The sequence below is a fragment of the Homo sapiens genome, chromosome 7, assembly GCF_000001405.40.
Source record: "Homo sapiens chromosome 7, GRCh38.p14 Primary Assembly".
NCBI classification, from domain to species: domain Eukaryota; kingdom Metazoa; phylum Chordata; class Mammalia; order Primates; family Hominidae; genus Homo; species Homo sapiens.
This window is the reverse complement of record NC_000007.14, coordinates 12,205,860-12,231,150: the sequence shown is the minus strand read 5'-3', so window position 1 is coordinate 12,231,150 and position 25,291 is coordinate 12,205,860. Positions and strand designations below refer to the sequence as shown.

Genomic DNA, 25,291 nt, shown 5'->3' with positions numbered 1-25,291 from the left:
AAGCAAAATCTCTTTCAAAAAAGATTTGTACTTACTGCATCATGAGTACTATGTTATGCACTTTGATGGATATCAGAGTACAGAAATCACTGTTAAAGAAATTAAAATGTGAACAAATGCAAGTTACTACATTATAAATTAAAAATTCTCCCTCCTATCTTAAAGCTAACAGAGATGCTAAGAAATATAATAAGCATTTGTTGGTTGAGAATTTTCTATACTTCAAACAATGACTGATATATTCATGACTTCTTACTCGAAAAACATGTATGTATTCATGCCACTGCAGTTGCAGGGTTGTTTAAATGCAGGCTATAAATTACTTATATATTTTGCTCATCTTCTGAAATTTTGATAACTAGGTTGTTATTTACCCTAAAAGTCTGTATCTACGCTTATTCAAAAGATGATGAAAATTTATAATTATTTTAACATAGTAACAAGTTTAACACAGTAACATAGTAATGAAAAATAAAGTGACATGGTATAACCCTAATTCTGAAAAATAAATAAAAAAACAAATTTTATGTGTATATATACATGAATATTATATATGTTGAAAAAGAGGAACAGAGAGGACCAGAAGCCAGAATACTACATAATGTACTCTTTTTGACTGATAACGGAAATTAAAAAATATGTATACTCTTTATACTTTATTTTATACACTTCATTATTTGACAATAAAAAGTTATTATAAATCAGAACTTACTACATATAACTCATTTCCTCTGCTATAACGGTAGGTACTGTGTAATCAATCTGAAAGGCAAAAGGAGAAATTCGATAGAGAACAAGATCAAAACATCAAACATTTCAGATATACTTCATAACTTCAAATAATTAGAAATTTTTCTCCTTTTACAAGCTTGATTCTCAAAGATTTCATCTTGTATGTGTATAAGACACATTTCTTTTTCTTTTTTTTCTTTTTTGAGACAGGATCTCACTGTGTCACCCAGTTTGGAGTACGGCGGTGTGATCACGGCTCGCGAGCCTCGACCTACTGGGCTCCAGTGATCCTCCCACCTCAGCCTCCCCAGTAGGTGGGAAGAGAGGTGCACACTACCACACTCAGCACATTTTTGTATTTTTTTGTAGAGATGAGGTTTCACCATGTTGCCCAGGCTGGTCTCGAATTCCTGGGCTCAAGCAGTCCACTGAGCTCAGCCTCCCAAGGTGCGGGGATCACAGGCATGAGCCACTGTACCCAGCAGAGACACATTTCTAAATCAAGTTTTTGAGGAAATCCCCCACCTCCTTCAAGTTATATGATATACAAAGCTGACATTCATTTAACTCTTACAAAGTATTTCATGATTGATTCTTACTTGTTTCATATCAAGTGGACCAATAATGGTTATGTTGTTTAAGCGTGCCTTTCCAATAACTGTTTTTGAAAATTGAACTTGGGCAGTGATGTTTTCAACTTCGACAGAGTAATAGTTATTGTTTGTTATATTTAGTGTGTTCTACAAAAAAAGGACACAGAAAATTTACAAGTTAGCTAAAAATATACAAATATGTATTTAAAATTAAAGTAACTTCAGCTGTAGCTATGCTTCATTTATTAAGAAAAAGAAAGTAATACCAAAATGTCAAAGAAAATTAAACCAATTATTTGGTTTTATGCACGAGTACTATGTATGTAATATGCCAAGAATAAAAACATAATTCAGTATTTAAAAAAAACAAAATGTATAGCTTCAGAATATGGACATTAGTAAGCTGTTTCCTATTCTATTAAATACAAAGATGACCATTTAAAATGTTCAACAGTACCTAAAATAATCTTTTTTGTTTAAAAGAAATTGCTATTTCAACTTGTACACTAGTAGAGATTTACAACAGCTCACTATGAAGAAGAAATGGGCTAGATTCAAGTCTGGTTGGTTGGGGAGAAATGTGGTTGCATCATTCACATGCTTAAGTAACAACTAATAGCTGGGATCACCTTCTACATTTCTAATTTACAACTGTTGTCTCAAATTACTGTAGAAAACAGTCATTAAAAAATTTAAAAATGTTAAATAAAAAATAACAGATATATAAAAGATCTGTAACAGTCATACCAAAAGGTAACATAAACAAAATCCATAGACACTAAATGATAAATAAAAGAAATATTTGTAAGCATCGGTTATAATCTATAACATGCAAAGAGCCCTTACAAATTGAAAAGAAAAAGACAAAACTCTAACAGGAAATGAAAAAAGAACAAAGGACATACATAAACAAATCAAAAAGGTACAAAGCTAAATGGCCAAAAATATTTTACAATGCTCAAATTCATTTATAGTTAGGAAAACGTTTATTTAAGTAAAAATGGAATATTGCTTTAAATTCCTCAAACTAGTACAATTTATAGAAAGCACCAAATTCTATTCCTGGCACAGATATGGGAAAAGGGTATATTTTCATACTGCTAGCAAATATGTGAAGTGTTACAGCCATTTCATCAGTAATTTAGTTATATACATTAAAATTAGAATTATGTATAGACTTTGATCGGGCAATCCTACTTCTGAGCACCGATTCCACAGAAATAAAAACATTAGGATGCTAATGACAGTGTTATTTGGAATGGGAAAAAAAATCCTGACAATAAAATGAATTCTATTCATAAAAAGAAAGAATAAATTATATTAAGTCCTTATATGGAATATTATGAAGCCATCAAAAAGAATCAATTAAGTCAGATAATTAGGAAAGATTTTTACAAGGTATTAACAAATGTGAAAACCAAGATGCACATAAATAAGTACTAAATAATATTTTTTAAAAATACTGATTTTTATAAAGCTGAATATGTGAGTATACATAAATGTTAATAGGAATATGTAGAAAGATATGAAAAGATGCAATATGGGATGAGTTGAAGGAGAGAAAATAGTTTTAGTAAAAAAAAGGATGAAAGAATATGCTAGAGTCAGCAATTATATGATTACATTTATGGAGTCATTTACATTGGTATAGTCACAAATGTAAAGAAATTTCAAAAATGTTCTCAAACACAGTAAAAATAATCTTTAAATATATAAACATTTTATCTATTTGGCTCTTAATGTTCATGTCAATTTCATTTCTAGACATGATAGGAAAGAGATAGTTAATTTGAGGTCAATGGATCTTCTGATAAGACCAAGGATTGAAATTTAGAAGAATCTTGGAAGTCTTTGTATATGCAAAATTATGCTGGTACATGTCTTTTTCTGTACTGTCCACAGTTTCATTAGAATATTTAAGGGATCAATGATGTAATACAGGTTGAGAATACAAATCCTTATGAGAATTAAGACAAAGAAAAAATAAGACAGAATAAATAAAAATTTAGTAATAAAGGTTAGACATTTGTTGCTCAGAGTAGTGAGAATCCATTTAATTTAAAAGATGAAAAGAGATCACCATAATTGTTAACAAAGACCCTAAACTACCTATGATCTTTAATTGGCAAATGTACTTTCAGGAATTTATCCTAAAGAAATAACCTGAAATGGAAACAAAGTTTAAGCACAAAGATGTTTTCCTAATATTTGTAATAGTAAAATTAAACATTCATTAAGAAAATGGTTGAATTAATTATAATATGATCATGTAAAAGACTACACAAGACCATTTAACATGGGAAAATGTACTGTGACCTCAGTTGAAATGTGCATTTGTATATATGTGAATGAATGTGTGTATCCTTTACACATGAGAATGATTACATTTGTAAATGTATATGCATTGTTCGTAAATATATGTATATGGTAATAGTTCGACCTAGGTAGCAGAAGTAAAAATCTTTATACATTATAGTTCTCAAATGTCTTATAATGACAAATATTTTCATAAGTAGAAAGACAAATGTTACTAAAAAGTAGTACTACTAATATATACTAATCATTTTAAGAAAGCAAAGCAGTTCCATTTTCAACATACTTATAGATAATGTACAGAAAATTCAGCCTCTTATCTCATTGTCATCTAGTTAATGTTCATCCAAATAATCTTATTTTTCATTTAATGTTCAGTCTGTCTCAGTTTAAGTGGCAGTATTCCAAAATGTGAGAATTTCTGCATAATTACTTAAAATAGAGTATGATATTCACATTTAAATATACTTGCTGGTACTTAAAAGAAAACATCACAGGGTTTTTTATTATTTATTAGTACATATTTATGTTATTTGACATGAAAAAAGTCTTTGGAGGTAGGCCAAAAAAAGTCTGGCCAATGTTTTAAACAGTGTATAAAAAAGAAAATATGTTCCTTGTTCCAAAGGGCTAAGTGAGAAAATACCCAACAATTCCCCAGTTGCATAAAACAATTTACAATTAGCATTGTGTTACAAACGTTTTATTCACATATACGTATATTTTCCTATATTGTTGTTTTTAAAGAAAAAGCCCTTAAACCGGCAACTTTTGACAGAAAGCAATAAGAATAAATGGATCCACGGGATCCATTTTTTCTCTGTAATTAAGTAGTGATTCCACTTTAACATACCATTCCATTTCACTCACTGTCCTGACAAACCTCCCTCTTTCCAACCACCACCACAGACATCTCTACCTCAACCTTAACCACACCATTAACCTCTGCAAGAAAAAACAACTATCACTCTTCCTGGCAGATCACTGTCACTCACATATATCTCATGGCTGGCCAATAAATATTATCCCTTTTCCTAATTCAATAGTTAGCAAACCGTGCTCTTTTCAAACAAACGTTAACATGTAAAACAGGTAGAAAACCTCTCTAAGGTTTTTGTTTGTTTTGTTTTCATGAGTGGCAAGGCTACACGGTCCTTTCAAAAACAATGTCCTAAGAAACACACATTGTTTGCAAAAAGAACAAAGCTGGAGGCATCACTTCAAACTATACTACAAGGCTACAGTAACCAAAACAGCATGGTACTGGTACCAAAACAGAGATACAGACCAATGGAACAGAACACAGCCCTCAGAAATAATACCACACATCTACAACCATCTGATCTTTGACAAACCTGACAAAAACAAGAATGGGGAAAGGATTCCCTATTTAATAAATGGTCCTGGGAAAACTGGCTTGTCATAAGTAGAAAGCTGAAACTGGATCCCTTCCTTACACCTTGTACAAAAATTAACTCAAGATGGAGTAAAGACTTAAATGTTAGACCTAATATTTAAAAAACCTAAAACCATAAAAACCCTAGAAGAAAACCTAGGCAATACCATTCAGGATGTAGGCATGGGCAAGGACTTCATGACTAAAACACCAAAAGCAATGGCAACAAAAGCCAAAATTGACAAATGTGATCTAATTAAAGTAAAAAGCTTCTGCATAGCAAAAGAAACTATCATCAGAGGGAACAGGCAACCTAAAGAATGGGAGAAAATTTTTGCTATCTACCCATCTGACAAATGGCTAATATCCAGGATCTACAAAGAACTTAAAAAAATCAAACAACCCCATCAAAAAGTGGGCGAAGGATATGAACGGACACTTCTCAAAAGAAGACATTTATGCAGCCAACAGACACATGAAAAAATGCTCATCATCACTGGCCATCAGAAAAATGCAAATCAAAACCACAATGAGATATCATCTCACACCAATTAGAATGGCGATTATTAAAAAGTTCAGGAAACAACAGATGGTAGAGAGGATGTGGAGAAATAGGAACACTTTTACACTGTTGGAGGGACTGTAAACTAGTTCAACCATTGTGGAAGACAGTGTGGTGATTCTTCAAGGATCTAGAACTAGAAATACCATTTGACCCAGCAATCCCATTACTGGGTATATACCCAAAGGATTATAAATCATGCTGCTATAAAGACACATTAACACGTTATGTTTATTGCAGCACTATTCACAATAGTAAAGACTTGGAAACAACCGAAATGTCCATCAATTATAGACTGGATTAAGAAAACGTGGCACATATACACCATGGAATACTATACAGCCATAAAAAAGGATGAGTTCATGTCCTTTGTAGGGACGTGGATGAAGCTGGAAACCATCATTCTAAGCAAACTATCACAAGGACAGAAAACCAAACACCACGTGTTCTCACTCATAGGTGGGAATTGAACAATGAGAATACTTGGATACAGGGAGGGGAACATCACACACCGAGGCCTGTCGTGAGGTGGAGGGATGGGGGAGGGATAGCATTAGGAGAAATACCTAAAGTAAATGATGAGTTAATGGGTGCAGCACACCAACATGGCACCTGTATACATATGTAACAAACCTGCATGCTGTGCACATGTACCCTAGAACTTAATAATTAAAAAAAAAAAAACACGGCATTTTCACATATGCTAATTTACAAAAGAGAAACCAGTCACCTGTATTTCATCTTTAAAGCTGATAAAGGAATGGTCTATTAAACGTGGCAAAAACTGTATTTCCCAAATACAATGAAATCAAAATGTTACATTTATAAAATCTATCAAATCAACTATGTCAACACTTTGCTAGAAGTTATTCAGAGTCATATGCTGAAAAGTAAATTGTAATACCTTTTTTCTTTTTTTAGTTTATTTTACCCTCCTAAAGACATTTTCAAATGCTAAATCATTCTGTATATACAGAATTGCCAGTATTTATTATTGCTATTTTTAGCAGAACCAGAAATGGTAGAGAACGTCAATACAGAAAAGACATACAGAAAGCACACTGACCAGTGTCACATTTAACAAACATCTCTTCTCAATGGGGACAAAGGTGCTGCTTAATAGGATAAAAGAATGAAGTTAAACATTTTTCATATAAATTTATACTCACTGTGATATTTAAATAAATTGTACGCTTCTGAACATCATAACTGACATAGGCTGATTTTACACCAATGTATTTCACGTCGATAGAGCGAGGGAAAAGGAAAAACACAGCCAATCCAGAAAGGAGTAGACAGACAAACACAGAAGCCATCACATACAGCTTTCTGAAAAGGAAAAGAGGGTATTTAAGTACATGTGCATCAGAAATTATATAACACAACATTAGAGAAGGTATGTTCAATTTCCCCCATATATCAGCAGCAACATATATAAGATGCTAAATGTTACCAAATTTTCACATCTGAAAGTATTGGGTATGGTTGAGTCTGAGTCTATTAAGTGTTAAGATGTTCTCTTTAAAAGATGAAATCGGCGGGATGCGGTGGCTCACGCCTGTAATCCCAGCACTTTGAGAGGCTGAGGCGGGCGTATCAAGAGGTCAGGAGTTCGAGACCAGCCTGACCAACACAGTGAAAAACCATCTCTACTAAAAACACAAAAATTAGCCAGGTGTGGTGGTGTGCGCCTGTAATCCCAGCTACTCAGGAGGCTGAGGCAGGAGAATAGTTTGAACCCGGGAGGCAGAGGTTGGAGTGAACTGAGATCGCACCACCGCACTCCTGCCTGGACGAGAGAGCGAGACTCTGTACCAAAAAAAAAAAAAAAAGGAATCACATTTTTGGACACTGAAATTTTGGGCTTAAAAACAATAGAACATTTACTTTTTTGACTGCCAGAGCAGTTTTCACATTAGATTCAAGCTGAGGAGCTTCATACAAACGCACATTTCAAAACTCCCTCTGAATTCACTGAAGCAGAATTTTCACATGTTAAGTTTTGCCATTACATGATCCCCTAAAGTGACTGCTCATCAGAACCATCTTAGAAATAATAATGATGGGGAAGGGAGAGCATTAGGAAAAATAGCTAATCATGCTGAGCTTAATACCTAGGGGATGGGTTGATGGGTACAATAAACCACCATGGCACACATTTACCTATGTAACAAACCTGCACATCCTCCATATTTTTAAAATTAAAAAAAAATGACACAACCACATGGCTCATCAATGATTCTTACTATAATTAGTCTTTTTTTGAGTATTCTCATCTCAAAGTACTTACATACTCAGTTTTTAAGATTTTTTTTACATTGATCAACTCTGCTTTGAAGGTGTTGTTACATTTCTTTTTCTAATCAAGAAAAGATATTTCATGCAGGTATAAGACAAGGAAAAATTTGTAGGTAAAAACTTCCTCTTTTCAAGGTTAACCTCAAAACCAGAGTTCAAATAACTATTTCCTGTTCTCTCTAACATACAAGTCCTCTATTGGATGCCCACAACATCCTTTTTTTGTTTTTGAGTCTTGCATGACAATTACTTATTTTCCTTACAATCTACTTATACAAAAATTTTCCATTTTATTGTTTCTTCCACTCTCCGCCACCATTTCCTTTCTAAATGCTCTGATGGATTTAATCTTTGTATGTATTACAAGAGCAATTAAAGTGCCTCCTGCAGATATTTTATAAATATTTCTTAGTGTTTTAAGTTGCCCAAGTTAAGAACAGAGCAAACTGGTTTATTAAAAAACAAAATAATACAAGCAAACACAAATTTGCTAAGTCACTGCTACTAAGTCCATGCTGTTGTCTTGAGCAATCAAAACAGTTCCCACTCACTCATTTTGGACTCTCTCAACCTGAGTAGGGGTAGTGATCCCCACTGGATTACCTAATAGGAAATTTAAACACGTTTATAGTATCTATAACACACCAAAATACATAAAAAGGCATAAGAAGTGTTTAACATCATCATAATAAAATCTGAACTTTGTTGGATTTTCTACACTTCAGCGTTTTATTTTTAATTACTTATGGGCGGGTGAATCCATCATAATCTAGTCCTTAGGGCTTATAAGTCAGTCCTAGTTGTGAATAAATGAATCATGTTCTAAATTACTCTGTATACCACGTTTGTAGCCATAACGAACATTACTGAACCTGGTGGGACAATAAAACAACATTCCATCTAGTATTTCATTCCAAATTGAAAAGTTGGCTAGTTTACTGACAAAATATATGTCTCCATTACAAAATTAACTAGTAATGATTTTTCTTATGGCTCTAGTGATAGCAACCAAATCCTGGGAGTTATAAGGTGCTAATGAAGTTATGAAAGTTGTGTGGTATATCTGCAATCAAGTTAGAATTCCATTTTTGCCATTTCCTACCTGCAGTATTTAATGCAATTTACTTTTCTTCCTCTTTAAAATCCATGTTTGAGGATTAAATGACATAGCTAAAGTATACAGACAAAAGCAATTGATAAATATAATTTTCTAATAATCTTACAAATCACTCAATTTGTAAAGAAATAAAGACCCAAAGTTGTTCCCAAAATATTATAATTTTATTACAAATTGAGAAACAACAACTGTTCTTGGCCTTGTGTGAGCTCTGAGGACTATTCTCTCTGCTCCTATTGGGTGGTCTTTCCTCAGCCTCAGGTATGTTCCTCACACATATATGTTGATCAGGACACAGCTGCAGGCTTAAGAGCACCCTCTCCAGCTCTCTACCTTCTGGTACTCTGCCCTGCTAACTCTAGTCATTTTGGCTTTCTGGACACCCAGTTCCATCTCCATTGAGGAAGACCACTGAGCTCTGCCTGGGTTGGTTCCTTCCTTGTGCTGCAGGCTGGAACCTTTCTCAGACAGTAAGCTGGTACAATCACAGGGCTTGCTGGTGCAATCATAGGGCTTATCTCCTTTGTTTTTGCTTTCTCAGGAATCACTGCCCTGTGCTGGCTGATGTCCAATGTCTGAAAATATTGTTTACTATATTTGTCCAGTTTTACAGTGATTTCAGGTGGGGTATTTCAGGCATTATTCTATTTGGGTCAAAAGTGGAAAATTCAATTTCTTTGATTTTGTATCTCTTTGGTCTTATTGCTAAAACTCTTGCTCCCTAAGGCATTTACATAATAACTTATTTAAGTATAAAATTTCCAAACTACATCAAAGGTACTCCTAATAATGCAACTATTAAGTACAGTTTAAAATTTGTTGTGATTCTCTTTGCCATTTGGAACACAACTCCCGACATTTATAGTCACAGCACAATGTTTTCAAGTCACTTAAAATAATTATTTCAGTTTTGTTAGTGTCACCAACTTCATATACAGTTAGAATAATGTTTCCTTTTGTCTCAATTTTTGGCAGTTACTTTTGATTTCATCTTTTAAGTTATGTAAAAAAAATGTACACAGATACAGACACACACACACACACACACACACTTTACTTGCTTATCCACTCCCTCTTCCAAATTCCTTCCCAAACTCAGAGGTGAACCAATTGTATTAGATTTGGTTTATCATCCCATTGTTTGTCTCTTTGTGTGTATATGTGTGGGTTTGAGTGTGTGGTGTTTTCAAAGAAAAACATATTGTCAATATCACACTGTGGTAAAATATAGTTCTCCTTCCATTTTACCATTGTGTACACATAGTATCTTATTCCATCAGTCCTCTATTATTGGTATTTACATTGTTTCCAGTTGTTTGCTTCTGCAAACATTGGCACAATAAATAATTTGCGCAAATACCATTTACTATATTTGACAACTATCCTGAGAATAAATTTTTCAAAGTAGGATTTCTGAGCCAAAAAGTAAATGCAGATGTAATTTGGCAAATAATGCCAAATTTTCATTCACTAGCAAGGAATGAATATACTTGTTTTCAGTCACTACTGCCAACAAAGTATGTTGTCAACATTTTGGATTTTTGCCACTGTGATAGAAATGGCATCTAAGTGTAGCTTTAATTTGCATTTCTATTATGAGCAAGATTGGACATCTTTTCAAATGTTTAAAGGTCATTTGCATTTCTTTTTTGTGAACTAGCTGTTCATAGCTTCTATTTTGCTTTGGAGGTTGGCCTTTTTCTTCTCAAATTCTGAAGCTCTTTATAGAGTAAGGATATTGGCCCTCTGTCTGTGATATGATTTGTAAACTTTACTACTTAGTTTGCTATTTGTATTTTGACTTCAGTTAAGGTTTTGTCTTCATCCTGTAAAAGTTCATCTGTCAAATTTATCTTTTCTGCATTCAAAATCATAGTTTAAAAAGTTCTCCCACTTTTAGGTTATAAAGGGATTAATCCTAATTTCCTTCATATTCATATCTGTCTATACATTTTGTAATAAAAGGTCAGACTGTTTATAAAATCCTTGGTTTGTTTTATTTTCCTGATTTAAATATGTCACACCATTGCTTATCCGTTTGAGGCACTGTAGTCAAGAAGCAGCATGTCAATCTGATTTTCTAACATTTATAAATTAATTGATCCTTTTGCCTAGGTATTTAGGAGTTTTGTTGTTTTCTTAAAGTTCAAGAATTTCACTAACCTGGGTTGATTTTTTTCAGGATTGTGGTGTCTTTTCAATATGCAGGTCCCTGTGTTCTTGATTTAATGTTTTGCATTTGTCCAGTTCTATTCCTTTGGTTTTCTTCTTCAGATGCTCCAATTACATACATGTTTAGTTTTCTTTATGTGACTTTTAGACATTTTCTCTCAAATCCTTTACACAATTTGTTGTTGATGTTTTCATTCCTCCCGTTTATGTTCTATTTCCCTGACTGTATTTCCAATGTATTTGTACTTGTGTTCTTCCAGTTTTGTGGAAATGTTTTTCTTCTAATTCTTTCCAGAGGTCTGTAAATTCTCTTTGCACATACTCCCATTGTTTAGTTATCTCATTTCTGAGCTTCTCAATTTCTGCCTTATGCTGTCCTGTTATAGCTTTTATAGTATTAAGTTAAAGTGTTCATCTGCTCTTTTCACATGCCTTTATTAAAGTGTCAGTATTTTGCTTAGCTTACTTTCTTCAACTTCTTAAAAAGTATATTTGTATAATGCTTTGTTGCAATCCTTTCCAGGTGCTCATGTTTAAATGAAAAGAGCTTTTGTACTTTCAAGAAAAGGTTTCATTTGCGGTGATGGAATATGCCAGCGTTGCTTTGCTAGCTTCACTGTTCAAGGGCTCCATCCTCTGTTGATATACAAAGTATTTGAAAATATGGCCTCCATGTATATTTATCTCCACAGTTTTGAGATGATCTCCCTAATATGTCAATCTGTTCTCTCCTTCCTTCCTAACTCCTGTCCTGTAAACATTGGATTCTACTCAACTTTTTTCTTGAGGATATGTATTTGTATCCTTTTGCAATAATTTTTGCTTCCACATTTCCTAACGTCTCTGAGGATTTAGGATGGTCCAGTTCCTTCTGATCTCGAAGATACTTAGCAGGTCTCTTGTGGTCTTTTTGCACTTTCTCCAAGCTAGAGCATGCAAATCTTGTCATTTTTACAGATTATTCTTGGAAATATTTGCTGGGTGTCCTCTTCTTTTGGGACAAAGTATTTGCTTTGTGTATCAGGGCTCATATGATCCTTAGTAACTCTTTTTGCTTTCCTTCACAACCTCCACACAGCTGCTAAGGCCGTTGGGGTCCCTGCTGTCACCATGTTTAAATACCAATTTTTATCCTGGGGTTGTGGAGTACACCTTATTATCCAATTTTTAATGAAAATTTTATGTGTGTGTGTGTTTGTACTGCTATTCTAGATCTATTTCCATAGATTTGAGAAGATAAAGATACCATACTGCTTTCAAGACCTTACCCCAACCAGAAAATCCTTTCTTGTCTGTTTAAGGATACAAAGCATATGATGACATAATTTAACTACGTGACAGCATTTTTTCTTTTAATAGTTTTAACTAGTTATTATACATAATTTGAAAAAATACAAAAAACAAAAATAAAACATAAAACACTGCCATATTCTTAGAATCACTTACGTTCTTCTTGGCCTTAATCTCTGATCACTATATGGAATCAATGCCACCAGTTGGTTTTCTTGCCCTAAATGTGAAAGAAGTAAGTTCAGAAATTACTATGATTAGTTAAAAATATAATGGCTCCCCATCACAATCTGGTTTGGAAAGACCAGAATATCATCTGGCACTCATCTCTTTCCTTTAGTAAATTGCTAAGTCTTCAGAAAGTATCCAGCAGAAGTTCTAGAGAAGACAGCGTGTTTTTTCACACGTAAATGTCTAGCTAAAAAAAAAAAAAAAAAAGTATAACAAATGAGGGCTTACTTTTTCTTCCACTAAAAAAAATCTAAGTCCTAGCTTTCAGAAGAGCTAAATTTACCAGGCCTTCCTTCAGCTTCACTGGTGTCCATTAAGACTCTGATTTGGTTGTCTGGATGATAAAAGAAGAAACATATTGGTATCGCCCTTTCCTGAAACCTCTATCATCTCTATCACTGCAGAGCTTCTGACATTGTCCCCCTTGAAAACCAAAACCGGCCTCTGAAGTAGAAGTCTCAAGCTTTAAGAGCCCCCTACATAATGAGCCTTCCAGGGCCCTTTCAGGTCTCACCCCAATCCATGTTAAAGTCACTTCAAAATCCGTGATTTCTTTCTTGGGTTGAGCTATATCCATAAGTTTAAAGGATAAATGGACCTTTAAATGCCAATTTTATAATCTTATTAGAAGTTGGCTTATCATATTAACTATTAAGGTATCAGATAGTCAAGTTCTCTTTAAAAGCTTTCTAAAATGCTTCTGTTATTTCCCCCGACACATCTATACTCTTCCTCTCATCTGTGCTCCCCCATCACACCCATATATAATTATACAAATACATATAACATGGATATCTGTATCTTTGTGTGTTTACATATCTCACCTTGTTTAGTGGTATTCATCTGGCTAAAACTACAACCCTGGTTAAAACCAACCCTCTGGCTCCTATGCATATATCAACAGAGCTAAACATGGACACAGAAAAACACACAACTACACTCACTGGTTTCATTTTTGATCACTCATGTCAAGTAGCACTTAATGATGTCAACAATCATACTACATTTCCCAAGTTCATACTCTCAAGCTGACTCTCCAAGACCACAATTTTATAACTTCAACTCTCTTCAAATCTTTAATATCTTCTTCGCTATCCTCATTCTTAGTTCATTATGTGATAAATGGAAGATAATTTCTACAAGCTTCTATTATCAGATCTATCCACCTACCTGCTTCTGTGTCCATACTTTACCTTCTCTTTTATTACCAAGAATAAACCACCTGTGCTTATAACTTACCTTTTATAGAAAAAAAGAGCAGCTCTTTGTTCTTGTGCAGTAGATCTGCCCTTCTGTCTATTCAAGAACATTGCTCCAATAATTCTCTTATCTCCCGAATTACCAATGTTTTCTCTACAGATAATTCTCATCAGTATACAACTGTCTATTATTCACTCTATCTTACAAAGAAAAAAAAAAATCCCTCTCCTGACCTCACAGCCCCTTCTAATGACTACCTCTCTTCTCTCTGCTATGGAGCCAAACCCCTCAGAAAATCTATTTTCTCTCTATGTAACATCTCCTATGCACTCTTGAGCCCACTCTATACATGCTACACGTCTTTACCAAAACCGCTCTTTTAAACTCTTCTGTGGCCTCCATATAACCAAATCCAATGGCCAGTTCTCAGTCTTCACACTACCCAATCTATCAGTAGCATATGACAGTTGGTCACTCTTTCCTCCTTGGTACACTTTCTTCACTTATCTTCCATGATACCACACACAATGATTTCCTCCTCTCATTCTAACTTTTCTTTCTCAGGGTCCTTTGTTAATTCTTTCACTGACCTTGATATGCTACAGTGTCTCAGGATTCGCTAGGGTCTCATTTTTGCCATCTGCACTGACTAGCTTGCTGCTGTCATCCAGCTGAGCTTTAAGTGTCATCTATACATTGGTAACTTGAGGCTGGGCGCTGCAATTGAATTCCTGACCCTTATGATAACTAACTGCCTAATGAACATATCCACTTCCACGTCAAATAGGCATCTCCAAATATCCATGTCTAAACTTGAGCTCCTGAACTCTCCTGTGACATATACACTCAAATAATCTTTTTTTTTTCAATTTTAATAAATTGCTACTACATTCTTTCAGTTGCTCAAACAAACCCCCCCAAAAAAACTCTGGAGTCATCCTTGATTTCCTACTTTCCATAATCTGTATCCAGGCGGCCAAAAAAGTTTACTGGTCATACCTCAAAAATGTAACCAGACTGCTAAAACAGTACTCCCCTACCCCCTGAGCCTGGTGCATTAATCCCTTCAACTACAATAATTATTTTATTCTTAAATAGCTACTATCCTTGTGAAAATAAAACCATCATACTCAAAGGCCAACGCAAATGTAAACTTCAATTCAAACCCACAGCATTTTAAGATACATTTTAAGCATCTTAAAAAGGTACACAAAGTATACTTTATACTTTGACCTTCTTCCCTCTGGGTATCTCCAGGGTCACACATCAACTTTCACCAAGAAGATAATGAGAACAGCATAAAGTATCTTTATTATTTCTACTTATTGCCACTGTTCCTAAAGTAGCTTACAAGCAGCACACAGGGGATTATTTCCTTCTGACGTCCCCTATGATATATCACAAACAATTTTTTTTTTTCAATTTGGCTCATTTTCACGTACCATCCCTCTTCACAGAGTTTCTTTAACTCATTAGGGCACAGCCAGCTTATTCTTCTTCTTTAGATAATGAATTAAAAATATTAGGTTGGCCAGGCGTGGTGGCTCACAGCTGTAATTCTAACACTTTGGGAGGCCAAGGCTGGATGATCGCTTGAGCCCAAGAATTCGACATCATCCTGGGAAACATGGGGAAACTCCATCCTTATTATTAAAAAAATAAAATTTTAAAAATAACATGAAAGAATAAGCTTCCTTACACATTAACTCTGGCTGGGCATGGTGGCTTACTGCTATAATCCTAGCACTCTGGGAAGCCGAGGTGGGAGGATTGCTTGAGGACAGGAGTTCAAGACCAGCCTGGCCAACAATTGCGAGATCTCATCTCTTAAAAAAAAAAAAAAAATAGGTCAACAAATTACTTAAATTGCTTCTAACATCTGATATAGCAAAGTAGCAAGTAACTATGATGTCATCTCTACAGATGCCAAATAGGACTAAAAGTTTTCATTTACAAGACAGTGAATATCTGCTATAATAGCAGGTGGGAATGAAAAAATACTGGAGGTAGTGAGGTGGTTTTCTTTACTGCTTTAGGAACCTTAATTAATACTTTATTTGTTTCTTTTGCATCTTTTTGACTGAAGGTAACTGATATGATGTTTCAACTTTAATTCTAAGAGTCCTCTAAAACAGGTGGTTCCTGAGACCCACAGTTTTTATAATACTTGAGCAAATACCTAAAATCATTTAAAGGGAAAACAATACAATAACACATACCCCTAGGAATTCTTCCTGTTCCCTGACAAGTAGGGCAGGTGACACTATCTCTTCCTGTAAATTCCACATATGGAAACTGAGAGACATCTCCATTTCTTCCATCTTCATTATGGACTTCACTATTAACCAGTCCATTCCTCATGTTTTCAGATGTGACTCCATCATAAGCATCTTCTTTGCTTGAATGCAAAGGCAAATGAGAAAGAGACTTTCCCATGTCTAAAGAAAAATAAAAATCTTACAGTAAACTTCAGGGAAAAAAGTACATTCAAGAACACTCTGAGATATTTACACTAATTAATTTAGAACAGTCAAGGAACAGTCAAACTCTGTAAAATATTTGAAGGGATTTATTCGGAGCCAAAAATGAGTGAACAAGGCCTGAGGCACAGTCTCAACAGGTCCTGAGAAAATGTCCTCAAGGTAGTTGGGTTACAGCTTGATTATACATTTTGGAGACAGAAATTACAGGCAGAGGCATAAATCAATAGATGTAAGGTATACATTAATTCAGCCCAGAAAAGCAGGACATTTTGAAGCAGGGGTGGAAGGCTGGGGGGTGTCCAGGTCATAGGTGCATAGGTGGATTTAAAGATTTCCTAATGGCAATTGGTTGAAACGGTTAAACTCTACCTGAGGAGTTGAAGTCAGCAGAAAGAAATGTTTGTAGTTAAGACAAGGGAGGAGGATGTGGAAGCCAAGGTTCTGATTATCTAGATGATGCCTCCAGGTAGCAGGCTTCAGAGAGAATAGTTTGTAAATGTCTCTTATTACTCCTTAAAATATTCCAGGCTCTTGGTTAAATCGCTGCTGAATTAGGAAAAGATCTGGAAAGGAAAGGGGATTCTGTACAGAATGTGGATCTTCCCCACGAGAGACAGCTTTGCAAGGCCATTTCAAAGAAATATATTTTGGGGTAAGATATTTCAATTTCTCTCAGGGCCTGCTATCTGTCGAGTGATTCTATATTAGAGTCAGGTTGGGATTTGATATCTTATTGCTACAAAGAGACTCTTGTTAGTCTTCAAATCTCTGTTTTAATTGATGCTGGTCAGTTGTGCCTGAATTCCAAAGAGAGGAAGGTACAACGGGGCATGTTCAATCCCCTCCACCCACCTTTTCATCATGGCCTGAACTACCTTTTTAGGTTTACTTTGGAATGCCCTTGACAGAGAAGCGGGTTCCACTTAGTTGGGGGGCTCAGAATTTTATTTTTGGTTTACAGAACAAACATTAAGAGAATGTTCAAACTACCTTTTGGATTATACCTTTTGGATTAGGATTATATCCAATCAAAATAATGTCTGAAACAAAGGAGCCATTTACTAGAGTCCAGAAGTGTTTTTTTAAACAAATAATGTGAAATGATGTCCTATCATGCTTATGATGAGAATGGGCTTTCAAACATTAACATTTGACAAAAGTCTACACCTGCAGGTTCTCTGAAAAGAAACATGCAGGTTTCATTTTTCTTAAAATAAAATAAAAATACATTCTACCTTTTAACTAGTTAGCACTAAAGGCAAAAATTGCTTTGGGTAGACGATAACTAGGTATTTGATGTATATCACCAAGTAACTTCAAAGTAGTACGTTTCAGCCTCTGAAAATTCACGCACCTTTGTGATAAATACAATCACCACTCTTTTCCATCCTTAAATTTCTTGCTTTAAACATTTAAACACTCGCAACAACAATAAAAAGCCCCAAAATTCCAAAATCACAGTTTTTTTTTCATTCAACAGTTGACAGTTAAAATTATGAAGCCAATGTTCCAAAATATTAAATATAAGTTACCAATACAAAGCAGCAAAATTTAGAACACTAACTTCAAAAATTTTAGGATAAGAGTATCAAAATAACAATACAAATGTAAAAATCTAAGTAGAAATAAATAATTAGTACTAGTGCCTACACAAAAATAACTTCTGCAGGTAGATAATGAAGTAACTTTATACTTAAGGTCATACCCTTTTAAAGCTGAAAAGAACTTAACAGTCATATAATACACCCTGCTGGTATTTTCCTGCTTATATCCTGAGAAAAAATAAAGTGAAAAAGTAAAACTGAAAAATAACATAATTATACTCCTTCTAAATTTGATATGTCTTTTAGCGGTTCCTAAAAATAGATTACATACATTCAGACAGATAGTATTTCTTTCAAAAATTCTCACTTATTTGATTAAACAAAACAGACATTCCAAGTAAGTCAGTTCATCCTAGAGTATGAAGAAAATTTTACTTTCTAGAACTGGCATGCCTGATAGGAGCCTGCTTGGTGGGTACAATGTGTGTTGCTCCAGTGCTGGATGCACTAAGGGCTCTGACTTCACCAGGATGTTGTGTATCAATGTAGCAAATGGCACTTGTACTCCATGAATATACACAAAATAAATACAAAGATAAAAAAATAAATAAAATTCGCATGCCATCCACTTGTTGCTGTCACTCAAATAAACAGAATTTAAAAAACTATACAAATGGTATGCAAACAAATGTAAAATGAGATTTTCACTCTTTCAAAAAAAAAAAACTATGTATTTATAAAAATCACTGCCCACATCAAAAATACAAATGATTTATGACTTCTAAAAAATCATTGTCTTAATCAACACCTGTCAGCCACAGGTAGGATAGGGAAGACTTAACATCACTGTCCCCACACACTGTAACCTTGGGGTCTATGCGGAACACTAGATGAATTGGGATCATTGGGCCTTATCAGCAAGGCCTTAAGGGCACTCTTTCTGGGATCTCAGTCAACACAGCCAGGCTGTAAGCTGCATCTTAACTGGAGCGCGTTGAGAAAAAAGACACAGAAAGGCAGACTCAAGTGGCTCTCCGTTTGAGCCTGTTTTCTGTCCTAATCTAATAGCTGCCATGATCGATTCTGCTTTAGGGTAGGTGTTTGGACAAGTGCCAGACTCTGTGAGAAACTGGGAATCCCTTGCCTTCTCTACTAGATTTTCCTTAGAGAACTGACAAGTGTAACCACTTTTATTCTTGGGAGACTCAATGGTTTAAAAAAGGGGTGCTAGACCCTCTTCTGCAACCTCTGTGGGCTCAGTGTTATTTATTATAGCGGTTCCTTAGTTTACTGAAAGTCAACATGGATATCAGACTCAGTTTGGAGAGAAAAAATATATCACAGCACTCCAATTTAAATGGCTCCTGATCTTCTGTGTAGACACTGGTTTTAGTTCTAAAAGGGCTTGAGAACTAAGGAAACAAGCGCCTTTGAAAAGCTCCATAAACAACACCTAGCACAAAGCCTACTCTGTAAAGCTGCAAAATAAGATCCCGGCACCACGGCAAGAACATTCATCAACAGCAAAAGGAAGAGGGCCACCTGGCGCTCAAGGTGTGAGGGCCTAGAGGCAACCCAGAGGTAGGGCTTGGGCCGAAGCCGAGTGTTCCCTGGCTGGGCCTCATTAGAGGCGACACAGCAACTCGATCACCAGCCCTGACCGCCGCCGTACCTGCGGCTGGCCCAGCACCCCAGCGGCCTCCCCTCCTTGTCAGGCCCGGCTCAAGCCGCGGCGCAGCCGCTCAGCCTCGCTCCGGAAGGGGACCTGGGGACTGCACGTCCGGGGTCGCTCACCGGCACGCGGGGCGCTGCGCAGTCCCGGGCTGCTTCGGCGCGGACAGGGCCGAGGACAGGGTCGTGGAGTCCACAGTCCCGGGAGCCGGGGGGTGGAGCGACCGGCCTGGAGCGCGCGGCCGCCGTAGAGCTGGGACGGGGGAGGGGTAGGATAACGACGGCATCAGCAGAGGCCAAGCGCTGCTGTAACCTGCGTCCGCGCCTGCGCAGAGCGCTCCCGGAGGGACACCCCTGGCGTGCGCGTGACGCATGCGTCCTTCTTCCTCCTGTTTGAGCCCAGAGGCGTCGATCGTGTGAGATTGTGCGCTCTTCAGGTTTCATTACCTTCGCGTCCCCCAGACTTCAAAGTGTCCACTGTAGCCACGAATTACCTAGGAACAGTCGCTCCTCCTATTTCCCATATCAGACCATTTCCTTTTGCAAAGGGTATAAATGTGCACCATCTGCCTCAGCTTTCAGCTGAGCAGCCTCCTCGCTCACGCAATGCGAGTTGTCGCTGACAGTCTGGTCCTTAGGAATGGAATAAACTGGTCCGTACACACGCCGCTGACAGCAGCAAAGCTACCTCTATTTTAATTTAGAAACTGGCCAACTAGAAGGAGACAGCAAGCGGCAAGGCCGTAGTTTTTGTTTTTGCTCGGTTTCGTTTCGCTTTGCCCACGCTGCCCCTCCCCACCCCTTAACTCTGGTGCTAGTTACAGGTGTGTGAAATCCCGTCTCGGATCCCAGTACTTAAGCTCTTCGCTGTGGGTTGGGGCTGCCCTCCCCCAACGTCTAGGTCATTTCACTTAGAAGATAAGAACAACGACAAGGAGTCGTTTTGAGGGATCAATGAGATGCCGGTAATAATATTAAGGGCACTCTAGTCTCATTCCTGCGGAGAGTTTAACGTTTAATGAATGGTAGGCATTCTTACAGTCACAGGAGCAAGGAAGTGAGAGTCATATATTTCTCTCTTCTAACAGGATCAGTGTGATCCTGTTAGAATCAGGGAATTCTAACAGGAATTGGGAAATGAAGCTATGTAAAAGTAGGAAATACAAGTCAGAACGATATACAATTTAAGAGGATTACTGTAGATCCATATGTGAGATAATGAGCTTTCTCATACAATGTTGTCGGAGATTTAAAACTCCTAAGTTTTCTGGCAGACAGTCAGTATGTATCAAGACTATTAAAATGTTCACATCGTTTGGTCCAGCAATTCCACCCTTTCAGAAGTATCCTAAACCTAATGAGAACTCTAAAAAGATTTGGGTATGAGGTGTATCCATTTAAATAAACTGAATGTCCAACAAGGGACATTGATAAAATCATTATTTTTCAACCGCTTTTATTTAGCCCATATTTTCCAAAGGGAAGGGTCAGGGTGTCTTCCATTAACACTGTTTGAAATTTCAAAATTAATAGGTTGGTTAAAACAAATCAGAATCATGGGGGAAAATTTTTCTCAAAATTATTGACAGTCCACCTGTGGAGATATGATGTTCCCCTTGGAATTACTGAGTTTTTAAAATTATGGAATAGCCATCTATTGAGTTTTTATAAAGCCAGTAAAAACCATCTTATAAGGCTGTTATACGCGGAGTGATATAAAATTAAAATCAGGATGCAAAGTATAGGATATGAGGTATTGTAATAGGATGTAAACTATATTCACATATAGATAACATATAGATATAAATATATTACATATCTGCCTTGAAATGGAAAGAAATATACAAAATATAAACAGTTGCCTGTAGTTTGAGAGCATGGATGTTTTTTCTTTATTATTGTTAAATAGGCAAATGGTTCTATAATGTAATATATATTATTCTTAAGTGAAAAAGTTACTTTTTTCTTTAATTCTTAAGGGAGTATTTAGTATTTTCTCAACCTCATCATTTAACTTAAAACGTGCTGGCCATATAGCACAGTTCCTTATCCAAATTCCTGGAATTCACATAGGAATAAGTCTTCCTGGGAGAATGTTGCTGTAAGAAGCAGTTCAGTAGCAGGGTTGGGAACACAGCCTTGGGAGCCATATGGCCTGAAAATGAGCCCAGCCTGACAGAGATATACAAAATCTCTGTAAGAGTGGGCAAAATACTTAGCCTTCTTTATACCTAATTTTTATTATCTGCAAAATGAAGATAGTAATAATGTCTGTCTCAAAGGGTTATGGATGGGAGCTGATACCTGCAGAGCAATCAGTAAATATTAGATATTATGATTACAAATTTATCATCCATATAACAAGGAAGTACTTTAAAGACAGATATTGAATGTTTGGTACATTTGTTCCTATGCCTTATTTTTCATTGAAGCACATTTTGAAAGGAAAATTTTCTGAAAAGCTTCCAATTATTTGATTAACAGTGATTTCTTGAGTTCCGAGTTCAGTAGTGGTCTAGGTGCTATCAGATATAAAGGCCAGTAATTTTAACAGTCTGGGATAAGTTTGAATAGAAGAACATTCTTTCTTAATGATTTCTGGTTATATTTAGTATGATGCTGAAGCTAAGGGATTTCTCTAGGTTGTACTAAATCTTGAAAACAGCCTTATCTCTCATTTCAATTCTCTTTTATCTCTTTTAATGGTAAATCACCCAAATCCTAATAGCAGTCAGCCATAACTAAAAATTTTGCAAAAATTACTTTTCTAGAAATTAGCTGTTAAAAATTATAAGCAGAAAAGGAACATAATTATTTTGAAACATATAATTTGTCAAATGTTAATATATAAGTCTCTCTCAGCTCACCCCCTTCCACTGATATGCTGGTCAGATTATGTTAGAAACCTGGATAGGTTACATTGGAAACCAGGGATTGAAAAGATTGAAGTTTGTCTGGCTGATTTTCAGAGATAGTGCCCCAGATACATAGCAAAACTACCATTAGCAAAACTACCATTTCCCGCTGTGCCACCTGACTTACATTCACAGGCAGTAAACTCCTGACTCTATTGACACATCTTTGTCATTCCAATTATTTTAAAAGCAGAGGTCTTTATTAATTTCTGCAAATAACTTACCTATCTGAAACTCTTGGTTATGTCTCTGTACTCCTTCTTAGGCAGGATCTTCTATATTTCCTCTGTCTCATTCATCTTGCTTCACACCTGCATGGAGCTAATCTTTCCCATGTGTTAAAACTTTCTTTCCCAAATATTCAAGTCATCTTTTGTAGGGTTTTTGTCATAATCATAATTTCTAGTAAGAATAATTTTAGGAGTTCAATAACACTTGGCCAATGAATGAATTTGTTGTGCCAGGCATTGTGTAAAGTAGTTTATATCATCTAATTTTTATAGAAATGCTATGGATTAGGTTCTGTTATTATCCCATATCTTATTTCAAACAGTGGAAATAGAGGATCCTAGGTATTATGACTTGCACATGACCACACAGCTAGCAACTAGAACTCGGATATTTTGACTGCAAAGCTACAGCTATTAACCACTGTGGCATGAATATCTGTATTAAATTTGGAAGAGTGAATTCTGTCCTCAACTTTTACTACACAAAGATAAGTGATGACGGTGAGTAAAGTTAACTGGTTAGGGGGGGAAAAGAGGGTATTTTCACTCTTTTGCTAAGTGATCATCACTGCTGCTGAAAAGAGGAGAATTGGGTCCAGAAATCCTTGAGGAGGTGTTCCGAATATAAAATAAGGAAAACACAGAGTCCAATTAGGATTTATGTTATAAAAGACTGTTTCTTCACAACAAACACAAGCTAGAGAAGGTTTTTTTTTTTTTAAACATTTTTAAAAAACTTATCAAAGAAATGAGGACGCAAATTTAAGTACACTTAAATCCAAAAGATAAGGAGAGCTTCCTAAGAGAGAATAGAATTAGAGTTGCTTTAATCACCTACAAAACAGTGGGAGAAGGAGGAATGCACCATAAACAGGGCCGAAGGGAGACCTGCCGAATGACACCCCTGTGTGTGGACCAGGATGATAGATTACAATCTCATGTCGTTCCAGTGATAGAACGAGTGTGCACTCACTCTCCAATTCTCTCCTAAAGGTCTTCATTAAGTGCTCAAATGTCATATGTTAAAGGCATGGGGTAGGGCATGAATGCTGAAGAAATTTCTTTGCAGATTCTAGGCCTTTAACCAGTGTACTGCAGCAGCTCTGTGAAGGCTGGAGGCAGGGTGGCAGGCTGCCCAGGATTCTCCTGAGGCACAGAAATGACCGGCAAGACTGGAGAGTAAACAGAACAACCTGTGGAGATATTGGAAGCTAGGTGTTTGAGCTAAGAAAGTATTGAATAGTTTGGTGGAATGAGCTAGTAGGTGCACATTAATCTTGAGATTTTGCCAGTGCCAAGAACTCAAGCATATTTGAAAGCAATAGTAAATAAACTGAATCAAAACTTCAACAAAACCCAGAATGTGGGTTTTTGACTCACTGTTGAAAGATTTGATTCAGCCTTCCAAACAATAATCTTGATAGAAAAAATGGCAAGATGTTTTTTGAGGTACATGTTATTTACTGTTTTCTTTTATACAATATCTAGCATATAATAAAGATTATGAGACATGAAGGAGCAAGAAAATGTGAGCCATGGTCAAGAGAGAAAATGATTAATAGGGGAAAATACAGAAATGGCCCAGATTTGGTATTATCTGGCAGAGACTTTAAAATCACTTTGATAGATATGTTAAAGCATCTGTATAAAAAATGGAAAACATGCATGAACAGACAGGGAATTTTAGCAAAAAGATGGGAACTATTTATAAAAAGCAAGTTGAAATATTAGAAATAAATATTAGAAGTAAAAAGTTCACTTTTTAGCATTATCACCAAATTGGACATAACAGAGGGAAAAAAACCTGTAAACTTGAGACGGTCAGTAGAAATTATATAAACTGAATATAAAGAGCAAAATCAAGGACAAATGGAAGGGAGCATCTGATATCTTTAGGATAATATCAAATCATTTAGCACATATGTACTTGGAATCCAAGGAGCAGAAAGGGGATAGAAGAAATATTGAAAAGATAAAAACTTAGAAATCTCCAAAACTGACTGAATATGTAAATCCATATATTCAAGAAATTCAGTGAATCCTAAAAACAAAACAAAACAAAAAACAAATTTAAAGAACACTAAACCTAGGGAAACAGCAAATAAAAAAACCCTTAAAATTAGTCTTAAGAAAGATATACATTACATACTGGGAAACAATAATAATATCACTACTAATTTCTATATCAAAAGTGATGGAGGCCATAGAAAATGGAATAGCATATTTGAAGTGTCTAAGAACATAAAATATATCAATTTAAATTCAATGTCTAGCAAAAAAAATTGAAAGCAAAAGAAAGCTATTTTCATACAGACAGAAGCTGAGCAAATTTATTCCAGAACACCTCCAGCAGAATGTCTAGAAACTCTTTACGCTAATGTGAAATGACACCAGATGGAAGTCCTGATACATAAATAAACATACAGAAACATTTTGTATTGTCTTCATTCTATGTGTATCCCATATATCATATCTCTACATATTTATCTATAGAGACGTATATATTTAAAAAATTATTGACTAAAGTGAACTAATAACTGTATA

The 25,291-nt window shown here is 35.7% G+C and overlaps 1 protein-coding gene across 2 annotated transcripts in view, besides 7 other annotated features; it reads right to left on the bottom strand.

Moving 5' to 3' along the window:
• Positions 1-19,857, bottom strand: part of TMEM106B (transmembrane protein 106B) — a 32,074-nt gene extending 12,217 nt beyond the window's left edge. Inside the window, exons 1-8 of one of the 2 annotated variants that reach the window (NM_018374.4) lie at positions 19,726-19,857; positions 16,757-16,950; positions 16,124-16,342; positions 12,630-12,693; positions 6,766-6,925; positions 1,332-1,472; positions 713-762; positions 36-89 (exon numbers count right to left, since the gene is read on the bottom strand). In NM_018374.4, the coding sequence (NP_060844.2) occupies positions 36-89; positions 713-762; positions 1,332-1,472; positions 6,766-6,925; positions 12,630-12,693; positions 16,124-16,340 (686 nt within the window). In that variant the 5' untranslated portion in view covers positions 16,341-16,342; positions 16,757-16,950; positions 19,726-19,857. The remainder of the gene's footprint in view (positions 1-35; positions 90-712; positions 763-1,331; positions 1,473-6,765; positions 6,926-12,629; positions 12,694-16,123; positions 16,343-16,756; positions 16,951-19,725) is intronic. The other variant, NM_001134232.2, reaches the window with a different exon arrangement.
• Positions 7,941-8,141: a silencer, noted in NCBI's record as "peak6387 fragment used in MPRA reporter construct". NCBI's record gives its function as "represses an SCP1 promoter by STARR-seq MPRAs in K562 erythroleukemia cells {active_cell/tissue: K562}" and the evidence as "EXISTENCE:reporter gene assay evidence [ECO:0000049][PMID:32103011]".
• Positions 19,140-19,656: an enhancer, noted in NCBI's record as "H3K27ac hESC enhancer chr7:12251121-12251637 (GRCh37/hg19 assembly coordinates)". NCBI's record gives its function as "activates a minimal SCP1, AML or CMV promoter by ChIP-STARR-seq in primed H9 embryonic stem cells {active_cell/tissue: H9 hESC(primed)}" and the evidence as "EXISTENCE:reporter gene assay evidence [ECO:0000049][PMID:30033119]".
• Positions 19,140-20,175: a biological region, named in NCBI's record as "H3K27ac hESC enhancers GRCh37_chr7:12250602-12251120 and GRCh37_chr7:12251121-12251637".
• Positions 19,559-19,868: a silencer, noted in NCBI's record as "silent region_17977". NCBI's record gives its function as "represses an Ori minimal core promoter by ATAC-STARR-seq in GM12878 lymphoblastoid cells {active_cell/tissue: GM12878}" and the evidence as "EXISTENCE:reporter gene assay evidence [ECO:0000049][PMID:35858748]".
• Positions 19,657-20,175: an enhancer, noted in NCBI's record as "H3K27ac hESC enhancer chr7:12250602-12251120 (GRCh37/hg19 assembly coordinates)". NCBI's record gives its function as "activates a minimal SCP1, AML or CMV promoter by ChIP-STARR-seq in primed H9 embryonic stem cells {active_cell/tissue: H9 hESC(primed)}" and the evidence as "EXISTENCE:reporter gene assay evidence [ECO:0000049][PMID:30033119]".
• Positions 20,049-20,098: an enhancer, noted in NCBI's record as "active region_25663". NCBI's record gives its function as "activates an Ori minimal core promoter by ATAC-STARR-seq in GM12878 lymphoblastoid cells {active_cell/tissue: GM12878}" and the evidence as "EXISTENCE:reporter gene assay evidence [ECO:0000049][PMID:35858748]".
• Positions 20,309-20,458: an enhancer, noted in NCBI's record as "active region_25662". NCBI's record gives its function as "activates an Ori minimal core promoter by ATAC-STARR-seq in GM12878 lymphoblastoid cells {active_cell/tissue: GM12878}" and the evidence as "EXISTENCE:reporter gene assay evidence [ECO:0000049][PMID:35858748]".